Source organism: Homo sapiens, chromosome 11 (assembly GCF_000001405.40).
Source record: "Homo sapiens chromosome 11, GRCh38.p14 Primary Assembly".
Classification (NCBI taxonomy): Eukaryota; Metazoa; Chordata; class Mammalia; order Primates; family Hominidae; genus Homo; species Homo sapiens.
In genome coordinates, this window is record NC_000011.10 from 89,604,457 (window position 1) to 89,618,594 (window position 14,138).

Sequence of the window (14,138 nt, forward strand, 5' to 3'; positions counted from 1 at the left end):
CAGTGCCTGCTTTATGTCATCTGCAGAGCACGACACTGGAAACAGAGCCCTGAACAAAACTGCCGTTAAGTCCCAGCTCTCACAAAGCTCACAGCGTATGCTTTCAGGATGTCACTGGTTGGGTTCTCTGGGAAGACGACACTGAAGTAGAGTCATAAGGGAAAAGTTTCATAAAGGTATGAGAACTGTGTGAGGAAAAGGGTAAAAAACATACTATAAAACAAATGGAAAACATCAGATTAAGTCTTGAGAGGCAGACTAGAACTCTTCAGAAAGAAGCAACTCTTGCCAATAAATGAGATTTTAATAAAACCTTAAAGTGCCTTATGTTGTATTTGATTTGCTAAACACTTGGATTTCTTAGAGACGCTGCACTTACTTTTATAGCCAATTGTTCTCCTTTCAGTTAACGGTAAGGTCAAAAGAACCACTACTTCAGATTTTGGGGAAAAAAAAAAGCCAATGTAAAAGATTCTCAGTTCAAACAGAACTTAGTGCAGGTTGGTGAGAAGAAATATCAACTCTTTCCAAATCAAAAGAGAAATACAATATTCCCAGTCACTTCAGGAAGGATCAGAATTTGTAAGTAATATTTGTGTAATGGAATTCATTTTATTGTGGTCTTGTTCTACCCAAATGCAGAGGCTGGAAGTGGAATGAAAATTCTCTTCGAAACCACTACTGGTCAAGAACACTATCCTGTGTTTCCAGACCTTAGGAATTTCCTGGGAAGCTTAGAGAAAGGTACCCAGACAGCACCGGGGTACTAAACAAATCTCATGGCACAGGTAAGCAGTATTTCTGCTGGGAGGTCCTCACACATGGAGAGGCAAGTGGTAATGGTTTGTTCTGTCCGATGGTGCTGAGAACAGCCAACATGTACCCTTGACAGAGGTTATGTGCAGAAATGCCTATGTAAATAGCCACAATAGGACTACGAGCCTTATTCTGTGGCAGTTATGACTGATATGTGCTTTGCAGTCTCTTGATGATAATTCTGCTTCTGTCCTCATACCATGTCCCCTTCCCCAATGCTCCTTCTTCTTAGGCCCCTATGACTTCTTTCATGCTAACTTTCTATTCAGATCTACCTGCTCTACTCCACTTTCTGCTCAGGAATTTCCTCTAGTCTCCCGCAGGAGTAGGCCTAGTCTGAGACTTACCATAAAAGAAAGAGCTAAGATCATACGGTATAAACTTTCAGTTATTAGATGAATAAGTTCTGGGGATGTAATGGACAACATAGAGACTGTAGTTGTTAATACTGTATTGTATACTTTATATTTGCTAAGAGAGTAGATCTTCAGTGTTTGTACCACAAAGAAAAAAATGGTAACTATGTGAGGTGACGGATATGTTAATTAACTTGATTGTGGTCACCATTTTACCATGTATATATATCAAATTATCATGTTGTACATCTTAAATATATATAATTTTTACTGTCAGTTATACCTCATTAAAGCTGGGTAGGGGGGAAGAGAGCTAAACTAATGAGTTTGGCCACTGTTCATCAGCATTTGGCTTTACCAAGAAGAATTTTGGGTGTTACCTATCTGCATGTAAATAGTTTCACTCAGATTGGTCTCCTATTCAAATGTCCCATGGGCTCATTCTTTTGCTAATAGGTGGTGGGGAAAGTAAGCAGTGTAAGTTATAACCTAAAAGAGCTACTTCACTATAAACTTTGTAAATGATTGAGACACAAACATAAATGTCTTATGCTTGTGTGGAATACAGCCATGCTAAAATTGGGAAAGAGGTATTCTTCCCACTTCTCCATGAAGAAATGCAGCTCAATTTCAGTCATTGACTGAGGACCATAGTGAGATTGGTTGGGTGCCTCCAGGACTCTCACATATAAGGGGTACCTGTACTCAGTAGTGAGTGCCAGTTATACCCAGCATATCCAGGAACAGAGAACTGGAGCATATGGGGAGAGGAAAAAGACCTGAATAGAGGTAATGAGGCAGCTGACCAAATAGAATTTTGCAACAGAACAATGGTGGGGCCTTTTTTGGGAGACAGGCTGATGACAGGTGAGGGCAAAGGTGAAACACAGACTGCGGACAGGTGAATAGGAGAGACAAGCAAAAGATAATGTAATGAATCTTAAAATTGCAGATGTACTGAGACAATAACCAATAAACAGAACGCAAGTAGACATGTAATCACAGGGTTAATCTGGCCAAAATGGCCATATTGAGGGGTGATGCGGGATTAAGAAAATAATAAGTCTGAGTTTGATTGCTTGTGCTTGGCTACTGTTAAGATATATCTTTTGCAGAATGAACTTGCCAAAAATAAGATGAAACAACATAAAATTTAGTTTTCTGGCATGTACTGCCAACAGGAAGAAATAGAGGTGCTTTTAGGATGCTATCCTGATAACTTATGTTCCTGCCTGAGCTTGGGCAGTGAAAACTCAAAGGCAACAGCTTTGCCCATGCATATGTACCTATTATAGAAGTGAAGCACAGGACATTGGAAGGCCAGGAGGCAACCTCAATTCTCCAGGAAATGCGCATTCACTGCAAAACAACTATTATGGGATGTAGTATGTTCAAAGGGCAAGGATGTCTGCATGCGTCATAGGAAGCTGAGTGTTTGGGATTTAAATGTGGACTTTGACTTGAGGTCTGATGATTCTACTTCCTGACTGTAAAAAGGGACAAGTGTTCATCATTGTATCCATGAGATATGTGGTTAAAATTCCTCTTTATTGACTGTAAGCTTGTCATCTATTTGAAAGGTTGCCTGGGGCTCCTAAAGTTAAAAATATTACTCTTAGTACTTTTGATTTTTGTGGCTCTTGAAGAGGTAGTGAAAATAAATGCTTAGAAGCCTCTTTTCATTAAAAACAAATAAAAAAATGGTAGAAGGAGAGAGGAAAGATTGCAACTACAAAAAAGAAAGAAGCTGTTAATCTAACCTCTCGTGATGGTTAACAGTGTTTTGCTTATGTATCACATATTTTGAGAGCACATAAGGATACTAGAAAATAGCAGAAGGCTATCTAGTAGCCAGTGAATTCTTGGAAAGCAGGAGGTGCAGAGATGATAGAATAAGCAACAAGAAGACAAGTAGAGGAGTGATCTCATCATGGGTACCAGGAAGATGGCTTCAGTGGTTTTAACAAGGAAAAACAACATGACGGGCATGGTGGCACATGCCTTTAGTTCCAGCTACTCAGGAGGCCGAGATGGGAGAATTGGATTGCTTGTGCCCAGGAGTTCAAGGCTGCAGTGAACTATGATTGCGTCACTGCACTCAAGCCTGGGCAACAGAGTGAGATCTTATCTCTTAAACAAACAAACAAATAAACAAACAATCCTACGCTGAAAAGCCTCTTTTCTTTTCTGGTACTCCCAAGTAAGTTAACTCACGCAAAGCCAGGAACATCACAGCACGGTTGTAGAGTCGGGGAAAAAATTAGGGGAGGGTATACTCAACTTTCCATATCATCCTCTGTGTTAATCATAAAATGTGTGGTTTTTGTTGATACATGCTGATCTTCCTCTGTCCCTGTAGTACCTGTTATATGTGTTGTATGAGAATGCTGCCTAATTTATGCGCTACACATACACTACTAAAACACCCAAAGCGAGATTATTTATAAAATATGCTCTCAACAACTTTCAAAGTCATACAATATGAGATAAAAGTTGCAAGCACAATTAAAATAGTCCGTCTCTGCACTTTGGAAATTTGTGACAAGGAGCTAATATTTTACCCAAATTACTAGGTAAAATAAACTTTATTCAATATGTACATATGTAACCAAACGTATCAGTGGGATTATACAGGATTAGTTCTCTGGGAAGCAGATTCTGAGAAGCAGTTTAGCTTGCAAGATGTTTATTAAGGAGTGTCCATGGAGTCCACATCTGTTGAAGGAAGGGGAAGGAAGCAGGAAGCAGCAGGGAGAAGTTGATGGGCAAAGTAATCTCAATAGCAGCCTCCACCAACCCTATGGGGAGCTCTGAAGCTATCAGAGCCCTTCATTGTTGTCCAGACTCGGGCCAACTTGGCCAGGCCTTCTATATGGAGCGGTCATTTTATCCAGGCAACCCTCTGGAGGGTGTGTGGTTGGTTATGGCCGCTCTGTAGCTGGGGCAGTCTCTGAAGGGGCTGACAACATTCTCACCTCTTAGAGCACCAAGTCCTTCATTGTTGGAGGATCTGGGAAGCACATCAAGTGTCCACCCCCTGGGATGTCTGTGTGTCCAGGACTACACCAGATAATATGGAGAAGATAGATAAGTAATGTATCTAAGATACAGTTATCTCTCTCAAGTGAAAGAGAAAGAGAAACCATGTGTCACACACATTCAAAGTAGAGCATATTTAATAGCATCAATTCTGACAATTGCAAGTTGTGTGAGCTTAACTCTTGTATGGCTCCAATTTTTGTTTGAAAGTTATAGATAACACCTTTACTAAATTTATTTATCAATTCTAATAGTTTCTAATAGTTTTTTGGTGGAGTCCAACTATAAGATTGTATTATCTGCCAACAAGGATAATTTGACTTCCCGCTTTCCAATTTTGATGCTCTTTCTTTCTTTCTTTTTACTGATTCCTTAGCTAGGACTTTCAGAACTATGTTTGATAACAGTGGTGAAAGTGAACATCCTTGTCATGTTCCAGATCTCAGAGAAAAGGCTTTCAGGCTTTCCCCATTCAGTATGCAACTAGCTAAGGTTCTGCTGTATATGGCTTTTATTATATTGAGGTATGTCCCTTCTATAGCCAGTTTTTTGTTAAAGATACATCAAAATATAAAAAAGAAAACTACAGACCAGTATGTCTGATAAATATTGATGCAAAATTCTTCAGTAAAATACTAGCAAATTGAATTCAACAACACATAAAAGAGATAATTCATCATGACCAAGTGGGATTTATCCCAGAAATAGAAACTTTATTGGTTTTCTACTTCTGCTGTAACAAGTTACTACAAATTGAGCAGCTTAAAAAACACAAATTTGGCCGGGTGCAGTGGCTCACGCCTGAAATCCCAGCTCTTTGGGAGGCTGAGGCAGGCAGATCACCTGAGGTCAGGAGATGGAGACCAGCCTGGCTAACATAATGAAACCCCGTTTCTACTAAAGATACAAAAAAATTAGCTGGGCAAGGTAATGCATGCCTGTAATCCCAGCTACTCGGGAGGCTGAGGCAAGAGAATCACTTGAACCCAGGAGGCAGAGGTTTCAGTGAGCTGAGATTGTGCCATTGCACTCCAGCTTGGGCAACAAGAGCGAAACTCTGTCTCAAAAAAAAAAAAAGCCCAAAAGACCCACAAATTTATTATCTCACAGTTTAGATCCATAGATCAAAAGTCTTGGCTTGTTTGCTTTGGGGCCCCTAAGGCTGAAATCAAAGTGTCATCATGGCTGTATTCCTATCTGGAGGCTCTAGAGGAGAATCCAATTCCTTGCTCATTTGGGATATTGACAGAATTCAGTTTCTTACAGTTGTAGGATTGAGCTCCCCATTTCTTTGCTGGCTGTCATTTGAGGGCCAATCCCAGCTTCTAGAGGCCACCTACATTCCTTTGCTTATTGCCCCTTTATTCGTCATCAAAGTCAGTTACAGTGGGTCCTGACCTTCTCGTGCTTTGGATCTCTCCTGCATCTTCTTCTGTCACATCTCAGATGAACTGTTCTAGTTTACTCTTCCACTTTTAAGGGCTCATGTGAATAGATTGGACCCACTCAGATAACCCAGGATAAGCTGTGTGTTTTAATGTACATCGCCTTAATTTGTAAATTTTTTGTCATGTTACGTATCTATAGGTTTCAGGGATTAGGGTGTGAACATCTTTGGGAGCCATTATTCTGCCTACCACAACAACTTACAGAGTTATGTGAGGAGATGTGAAATGCCTATGTGGCTGGCATGGAGTAAACTCTCAATAAACAAAGTTCATGTCTGGAGTTTGGAAAAAGACACTGAATAATAAGTGCTGGAATCATCAGTAGGGCTTCATGGAAAAGAGGGACTGAGTTTTGAAGGAAGGAAAGGACTCAGTAAAGGAAAGGACAGAAAAGAGGCTATTATGTCATGTAAATAATATAAACAAAAGAACAAATGCTTCAAGTTGTAGCAGCAAGACACAGGCCTTGATAAAAAATTGAACTGAATTCAAATGCTCACGCACTTGTTATGAGGTTTGTTATCTTAGACATTTAAATATATCTCTCTGGGTCTCAGTTTTCCTGTTTTTATTATTTTTTTCTTATCCATTGAATGTCTATATTCTAGAAGAAAAGCAAGGCATTTTCACATCCTCTTTCTGGCCCCTCAGTTTGACTAGTTACTGTAAACTCACATTGGCTTCACAACCATATCCGTAGTTATTCCAGAAGGCTAAGCAGATTCATCTGTAATCTGCTCATGTCTTTCTAAAATGTTGAAGTGAATAGTTCTGCAAGATTCATGAGCCTATGAAGAGAAGGTCCAGAGTGGCAGTCTCCAAACTTCTTTGATGCTTCACCCATCAGAGAAAATTTTGGAAAATGTATTTCTGATACATGAATAATGAATATGTGTTAATCTATTATATTAAATATTATACTACATTAAATGATAATTATCTTATATAAAAATAGAAGTGTTAATATTTTTATTTTACATTGTAATTTATTGTTTTGCTTATATAGTCTCTAAAGTGATTTTGGAACAGCAGTCTTCCTAAATCCAGTTCAGAATGCCAGCGTGTACTTTCTGACCAATCTGTCTCTATCATATCACACATGCTCTTTGTTCATAACCTGATATATAATCCTTTCTTTTTTATTTGGTCAAAGAACTATTCCAACATGGACCTAAAAAGGGTATGTTTGGTTTCATGGTAAAAGACTGAACTGAGGTGCCTTCTATTTAATGGTGCATAAAGAACTATGCAGATCAACAGATTTTTTTTTTCAAACAGCCCAAAGCTGCTTCTGATCAAAAATTCAGTGAAACTTGTTCAGGAAACCCTGGAGATTAGAAAGGAAGGCAGAGTAAGATCAGTTCTGTGTGCATTTTCCCAGAGGCAACCCCATCTGGCTAAAGCACCTGGGTCTCAGTCCCCAGAAACTGCCAGGTGGCCTGCCAATGTAGAGAAGAGAGTCCTTGGGAAGTTCCACCTGTGCCTTTTTCTTCTATGGGAGTCATTCTATGGGTTCAAGCTTCTTTTCTGAGGACAATACTGCATCCTGCCTCCATTGCTTCTTGTCCCCCTTTGTCATGACGGAGTATGCCTCTGACTTTGATATTAGGATTGGATCCTTCCCTGAATCTCCCTCAAATAGCACTTACTTCTCCAATTTAAAATCTAAAACTTGCCCTATGCATACCTTCCCTCCCTCATTACAATACTAGTTCATAGGGTTTGATTTTGTAGAGCTTTGTTAAAGAAGTTTAGATTTAATAATTTTAAATGAGTCATTGATTATTTTGTTCTGATAAGTCAATATTTTAAGATGATGTTCTTGTTCATGGATTCAATGAGCATAAAATTTGTGGCTGGAATTGATTGGGAGCAGATAGAAGGACTCAGAGTTGTACTAGCCAATAATCCAGCCATGGTGTGATGGGATATTCACACGGCTCCCCCTGCCTATGTCCTTTTTTGGAATGAGAAAAGAAAAAGTTGTATCAGTGGTTTACAATATTTATGGTAGCTATCGGCAATGCACATTGAATGAGCAAACTGCTAGATGCTATTCTTCACTCAATGTGCTCGCTTAAGCAAATAATAAGAAAAATATATTTGAAAAGGGAAGACAAAGTTTGATCATAAATATATTCTTTCTGAACTTCTGCTTTCTGGTCATGTAATTCACTTTGGGGATTACAAAGGAAAAGTGAAAGTAGAGTCAAATTATTAAGTAATGCGTTATTAAGGAAGTCAGATGTGTCAGGTTGGGGATGTTCTGGCACAAAGTTAAAAAATAACTTATGTCCTGGTCCTGGTGCTGGTACCAATTGACTGTGTGATATTTGGCAAAACGCTTAGGTCTATAATTTTTTCAGCTATAAAAAAAGATATTCAATAATAAAAACTTTAAGATTTCTTCTTGTTCTAAAATTCTATGATTATAAAATACATAAATAATGGCTGAATTTAGAGAAAATTCATTCTTTCCTCTTTTATTCAAGCATTATCCATCATTCTTCAACCATTGTCAATTTTTCATGTGTACTTATATTTTATTAATCTATTGCACATGTGAACCTATCTCAAAGCCTGTTTAAGAGGAAGCAGCATATGAATAAATATTTACTATATGGTATTTAACTGTAATACAGAATAAATAAAACCAAATATAATAATAACCATTATTTCTTAGTAAAATGCATATGATCAAAATTACATTTTTTTGGAGTTGTAATATTGCAATGTTTTGAAAGCAATAAGATATTTTCACACTGAGGAAGCCAAGTTCAGTTGTTTGTTGATAATTTGAGGAAGTGCACATATAAGTCACATATAGAAGGCACCATTAACTTCTCTGGTGAAGAAAGGCATTAGTATGGGGAATTCAAAAACAATTACATTATATCTTACTCTGAATGGAGTTTACAAAATTATGCTTAAACATGTCAATGTCTAGTGTCTTAAGGACTAACGATACTTCAAATTACATAATGGGATTCCAATCCAGTTTAGTTTCACATGCAACCAGAGCTCTGAAGAGAATGAAAATTATCACCTCTAATTCCAAGCAAAACTGACTTCCTTATTTCTTCAAGTTTACTTTCTCTAAGCAATTAATATTTTCATTTAAATAACACTTTCTGTGGATTAGAGAAAGCTTGGTGTCAGAGACTTGTATTTAAGTTCTGACATCTTCTTTTACTAGCCATGAGACATTGAGCAAGGCCATAAATTCTTTGAACTTCAATATCATCATTTGGCAAGTAAAATTTATAATAGAGTGATAACTATACTATGTTCTTCAAAGGGATATGGCTAAGATATAACAAAATTGTTCGTGTGGAAATTATTTTGAAAACTAAGTTTATAATGACTTACCAGGGATAACATAAAACAAAATGTAACAATATAAAGAAACAAGTGACATTTGCTGAATTAATTATATTAAATACAAATGCTATGAAGTAAACTGAATTAAAACAAAACAAAACAAAATATGACTTTACCTTCAAGGATGACATGATCTGCCTTTGAAAACATATAGGCAAGAACAACTAATATTCTTCAACTAACACCATAGAAGTTTGTATAAATCTCTAAAACTCTCTGCAGCTCAGTTTTCCTTAGCTATAAAGAGTGAGTATTGGTTTGGTAGTCCCCATGTTTTCTGGAAGTCCTTAACGTATTATTTGAGGAGACTATTTGGAAGAAAGCTGACATTTTTAAAAAGATTTGGCATTAATGTAAGAAAATGTTGTAGTATATCTTAATTGCAGAAACAAGAATTGAAAAGAACAATAGTATCTTTAAATCATATCAATCTCTAAGAATAGTGAGTAGAATGATTGACTAAATAACCTACAAATGAATAACACTCGATAGTGACTTGGATGTTTATGATAACCATGACAACAAAACACCATGTTGCTAACCTATTAAGAGTTTCTTTAAAAATGTAAAGTACTGTGAGCCATCATGAAAAACTGCTAGGTTTTCAATTAAACTCTCAACTTTGGCATGTGTGCTTCATAAGACCATAAAATGGGCACTGTACTTTGCACGGTGCCATGTGATACTGTTTTCAGTAACCAGAGCACTAAAATTCTGCAAGTAGCATCAGTCCTAGGCTGTCAGGCAGAACAAGGCACGGGTGCTTCATCTTGAGGGAGTGGAACTCTGCATTTTTCAAATCAAGTCTGTAATAAAAATGATCCCTTAGACCATATAGTGCTATATATATCTATATCTATATAATCTCATATGATGCTGCCAAGTAGGTACAATAGGTAGAATTCTCCAATTGTATAGATGAGGGAAAACAACACATGTGACTGAGGTTATGTAGCAAATAAATGACAGAGCCAGAACTAGACCTTGTATTTTTTAACCTACAGTCTAATCTTGTGTTCTGTATGCTTGTTTGTTTTCCTGCTCCAGACTTGTCAACAATAATTATGGCTATTATTTTCCGAGCACTTAACTACGTGTCAGGCACGATGCCGAGTTTTTCAGATACTCCCTTTCTTGTAATCAATTTTTTGTCTTTGCTGCCCCCTCTGTCAGAAAGAAAAAAAAAACTCATTGTATTTAATAAGCAAGGAAACTGAAGCTTGGGTAGAAGAAACACAGCACCTTGACGATGGTCACATAGCTACCAAGAGGTAGAGCCTGGACCCACAGTCATGTCTGCCTGTCTTCAGCTTTTCCTATCCCCTCACTTGGGCAGCTTGTATATCTCTGGCAGCTGCCATCTCAGAAGTTTCTTCCTCAAGAGGTTGTGTTTCCTTGAAACAAAAAGCAGTTTGACTTAGAAATATCAAGACAGTGCAATGAAAGACCTTGCACTATTGCCCTTTTAGGGTCTATGATATCTAAGATTGGAGTGTGATATTATTTTATGTGACCTATACATGCTGAGTTTAAATCTCATGCCAGTCATTTTGGAGCTGAGCTCTCTATAAGGCAGTTTTTCTCAATTTCTACACTACTAAACATACTCAGTAACTGTGGATAGGGTTCTATGCATATCTACCTTCGGTCTTCCTCTTGTTTCACATGCTCAGAAGGATTTTTCTCCTGAACATTGACAAATATTATTTTAAAACTTTCACACAATTCAGGATGCTCAAATATATTTCTCATTGTATTTGAGCATCTTAGAAACTAAGATACTCTTGAAAAACATTAATTCCATCTTCCACTACAAGTGCTTATTCCGCCCCTTCTTTCTTTTTCCTTCCTACCTTCTTTCCTCCCTCCCACCATTCCTTTCTTCATTCCTGCCTTCCATTCTTCCATGTAATAATAATTCAGTGTGGCTGCTAATCATGAATGTGATCTTTGAGAACTCACTGTTTAGCTGAGGCAAGAGCCCATGTAGGTGTTAAACAACTAACATGTAAGAGTAACAATGTGTCACAGAACATACATAATGTATATTTTAATGTCAACTCACAGAGATCATAAAGAACAATTTCCTAAGAAACACCTGAACTGACTCCAGTAGAACCAAAATACATAAAGAAGGAAGGGGAGAGGAGAAAATTTTGTAAATTTCAAAGAGAAATCAATAGATTAATGTTAATTCAGTCTCACCTCCCAGCAAATCATTCTACTCTGTTGCTAAGCAGTAAGTACAGACCATATGCACTTCTCCAGTCTAATATGTAGTCTCAAACCTCTTTTTCTTTGCCTCTGCTGTCCCCTCTGCCTGGAATAGACTCCCAACCTCCCATGCAAACCCTCCTGACTATTTTTGAAGGTCAGCTCAAGGGTAAGTCTATACCATCCTCTAGCCTCTCACAGTGTGTTGCACACAACTCCACTGTAACGGTCACCACTTTGCTGTGTAAATGCTTGTTCCTGCTCTCTCTGTGCCATACTGTGTTATCTGCTGTTTCAATCCCAGAACATCAACAGTGTGGAGCATTTAGTAAATACTCAAGATATGTTTCAGGATTAGATAATTCTATAAAAGCCTGTGTCAACTTGTTCTATATAATAATTTGGGTATTAGGATAGTGCCTGTAAGTGTTAAAGGCTCCATGTAATTCAGACTGTTCTCAAAAATATTTACTCTGTGGTTCGACTCTGAGTAAAATAATGACAAAGAAAATGGCTGAGAATACGAGAACCCACACTATGGAAGGAACTACATGCAATGAAAATAGCTAACTGAAACATAAATATGCACAGAAAGAGATAAATGAGGCATTCATACAACAACAGTGTCTGAGTCTACCACAAGTGGGTTATGATTACAGGACGCTGTGGAGCAGCATGAATAAAAGATTAAGTGGTGCATATTTTAGGTAGGTGGATGGGTGAACATTGCAGAGAACTGGTTTTAAAAAAAAGCAAGAATATTCAGATTAGGTATTCAGAAATACCTAATATAAATAATTCATTTTCCTCTGAGAGTGAAACCCAAAAATGACAGTCACTAAAAGTATATTTACATGACACCTTAAACAAATTTTGTGTAATGTTTTTATAATAAAAAAATGAAGCAATCTCTAGATGGAAAAGGTATTTCACACAATGTGTACCACCAATATACAGAGACTGTGTAGAAGTGAGAGTGACCATAAAGGTTTCCCCACTTCATGGTAGGTCAAAACCTAGCAGAGACTGTGTTTAGAATAAAATAGAGTATGCAATAGGTACTCATTATTCTCACTTATGCTGACTTTCCAAATCATCCCTGGTAGTAAAGACCTCTGGCTACTTTCCAAGAAATTAGCAAAAGAAGGGAATAGAATCACTGGATGTTAGAGCTTGAAGATTTTGAGGTTCTTTTGCCACCCTTATTTTCAGATGAGGATATCTTTCACAGGCCAGAAAAGTAAAGAAATCTACCAGGTGGTCAATTATTCTAAAATGACAGAACTGGGGCTAAAATCCAGGATTCTCGATTCCCAGTCCAGTGCTCTTTCTTACACACTAAGCCATGCCAAAATCCACTCTAAAATAAAACCCTAAATCTACTAGCCTTAACATTTATAAGGTGTTTCCACAAGGACATAGGTTTTGCTCCATGCCTCATGTGAGGTCTTTGTTTCCTTCTTGTTTAAAGAAAGAGTGACCTGGACAACAGTCTCATAGTGACATCTGGTGACTAAGTCAGGGTAATACAAAACATAAGAAGAAGACAAATAAAGTATCAATGTGCTTTTGTTTGTTAAGATTTAGGTAGGACAATTAAATCCAAAACTTAGAGGACACATTGTAATTCCTAAAGATTGTGTTTCATGGTTCCCTTCTTCTTTAATATGTCTACAAACAAGGTGATGTTTTATATTAATTCTCTTTTTGTAATAACAGTGAATTATTGCCAATCTTGTGGCATCTGAGTCTACATAAGCTATTCAACAAAGATTTATGAGAACCTACTATGTGACAGAAGCAGTTGTAGCTCCTGGGGACACAAAGCCTAGTTGTGGAATTAACCCAATACAGCAAACTATGAAATAATGTGATAAGAGCTAGAGTTAAGATATACATAAAATATGCTGAGGAAAGAGTGACTGACTGACTGGTAAGTCATAAATGCCTTAGAGAAAATGAGACCTTTTTAACTTAGCCTTTAAAAGTTATTAGGAGTCCACCTGACTTAAAAAAACAAAAATTCTCAATTCATTCTCTCAAATGCAACAAAAAGCATCCAAAATAAAAATATATTTTTATTAAAATTCATTCTATGAGTGTGATTGTCAGTGACATTGCTTCATTATTGATTAGCTTAGTCCCTGTAAAGAAAAATTATATGTTGCTGTTTCTGGTCAATAACACAGGTAGAGAATACCTAGTATCCTCAATATCTTCTATTTCCTATTTCAATTTCTGGTACAGAGGTCTGGGGAAGAAACCCCAGAGTTGCCTGCCTTTAAGTATTCAATTGTTACTTATATAGGGTCTTCTATATATCAGGTTCTCTTTATGGTGCTGGAAATGAAACAGTGAACAAAATCCATGCCCTCATTGTACATATATTCTAGAGGGGAAAACAGTCAATACATAGATATGTCACATATGTAGTAGGTTAGATGGCTGTAAATAGGAAGAGAACTGTGCAGGGATGGGGTTAGATAGTGCTGGGGTAGGAAAGCGTAATCTTAGATACGGTTGCCAGGGAAAACCTTCCTGAGAAATTGGCATTTGAGGAAAGGCCTGAAGGATGTGATGGAAGAAGATAAGCAGATATTTTGCAGATATTTAAGGAAGAGAGCTCCAAGAAGAGGGACAATCAGAACAAAAGGCCTTTGCTGGGAATGTGCTAAGAGTGGAAGCACACCAAGGAGGACAGTGTGGCTAATGAGTGAAGCCTGAAAAAAGTAGAAGAAATTAGGTCTGAAAAGAAGTGGGGACCAGATCATGTAGGGCCTTGTTAGCCTTGATAAGGAGGGTGGTGGGAATCACTGTAGACTTTGGGACACAGAGGGTGACAAGACCTCTGACCCAGATGCTATGTTCAGAACGGATAATAAGG

At 37.5% G+C, this 14,138-nt stretch overlaps 1 annotated feature.

The window, feature by feature from the left end:
• Window positions 10,085-10,379: a silencer, noted in NCBI's record as "tiled region #15382; HepG2 Repressive non-DNase unmatched - State 13:Ctcf". NCBI's record gives its function as "represses a minimal TATA promoter and a strong SV40 promoter by Sharpr-MPRA in HepG2 cells {active_cell/tissue: HepG2}" and the evidence as "EXISTENCE:reporter gene assay evidence [ECO:0000049][PMID:27701403]".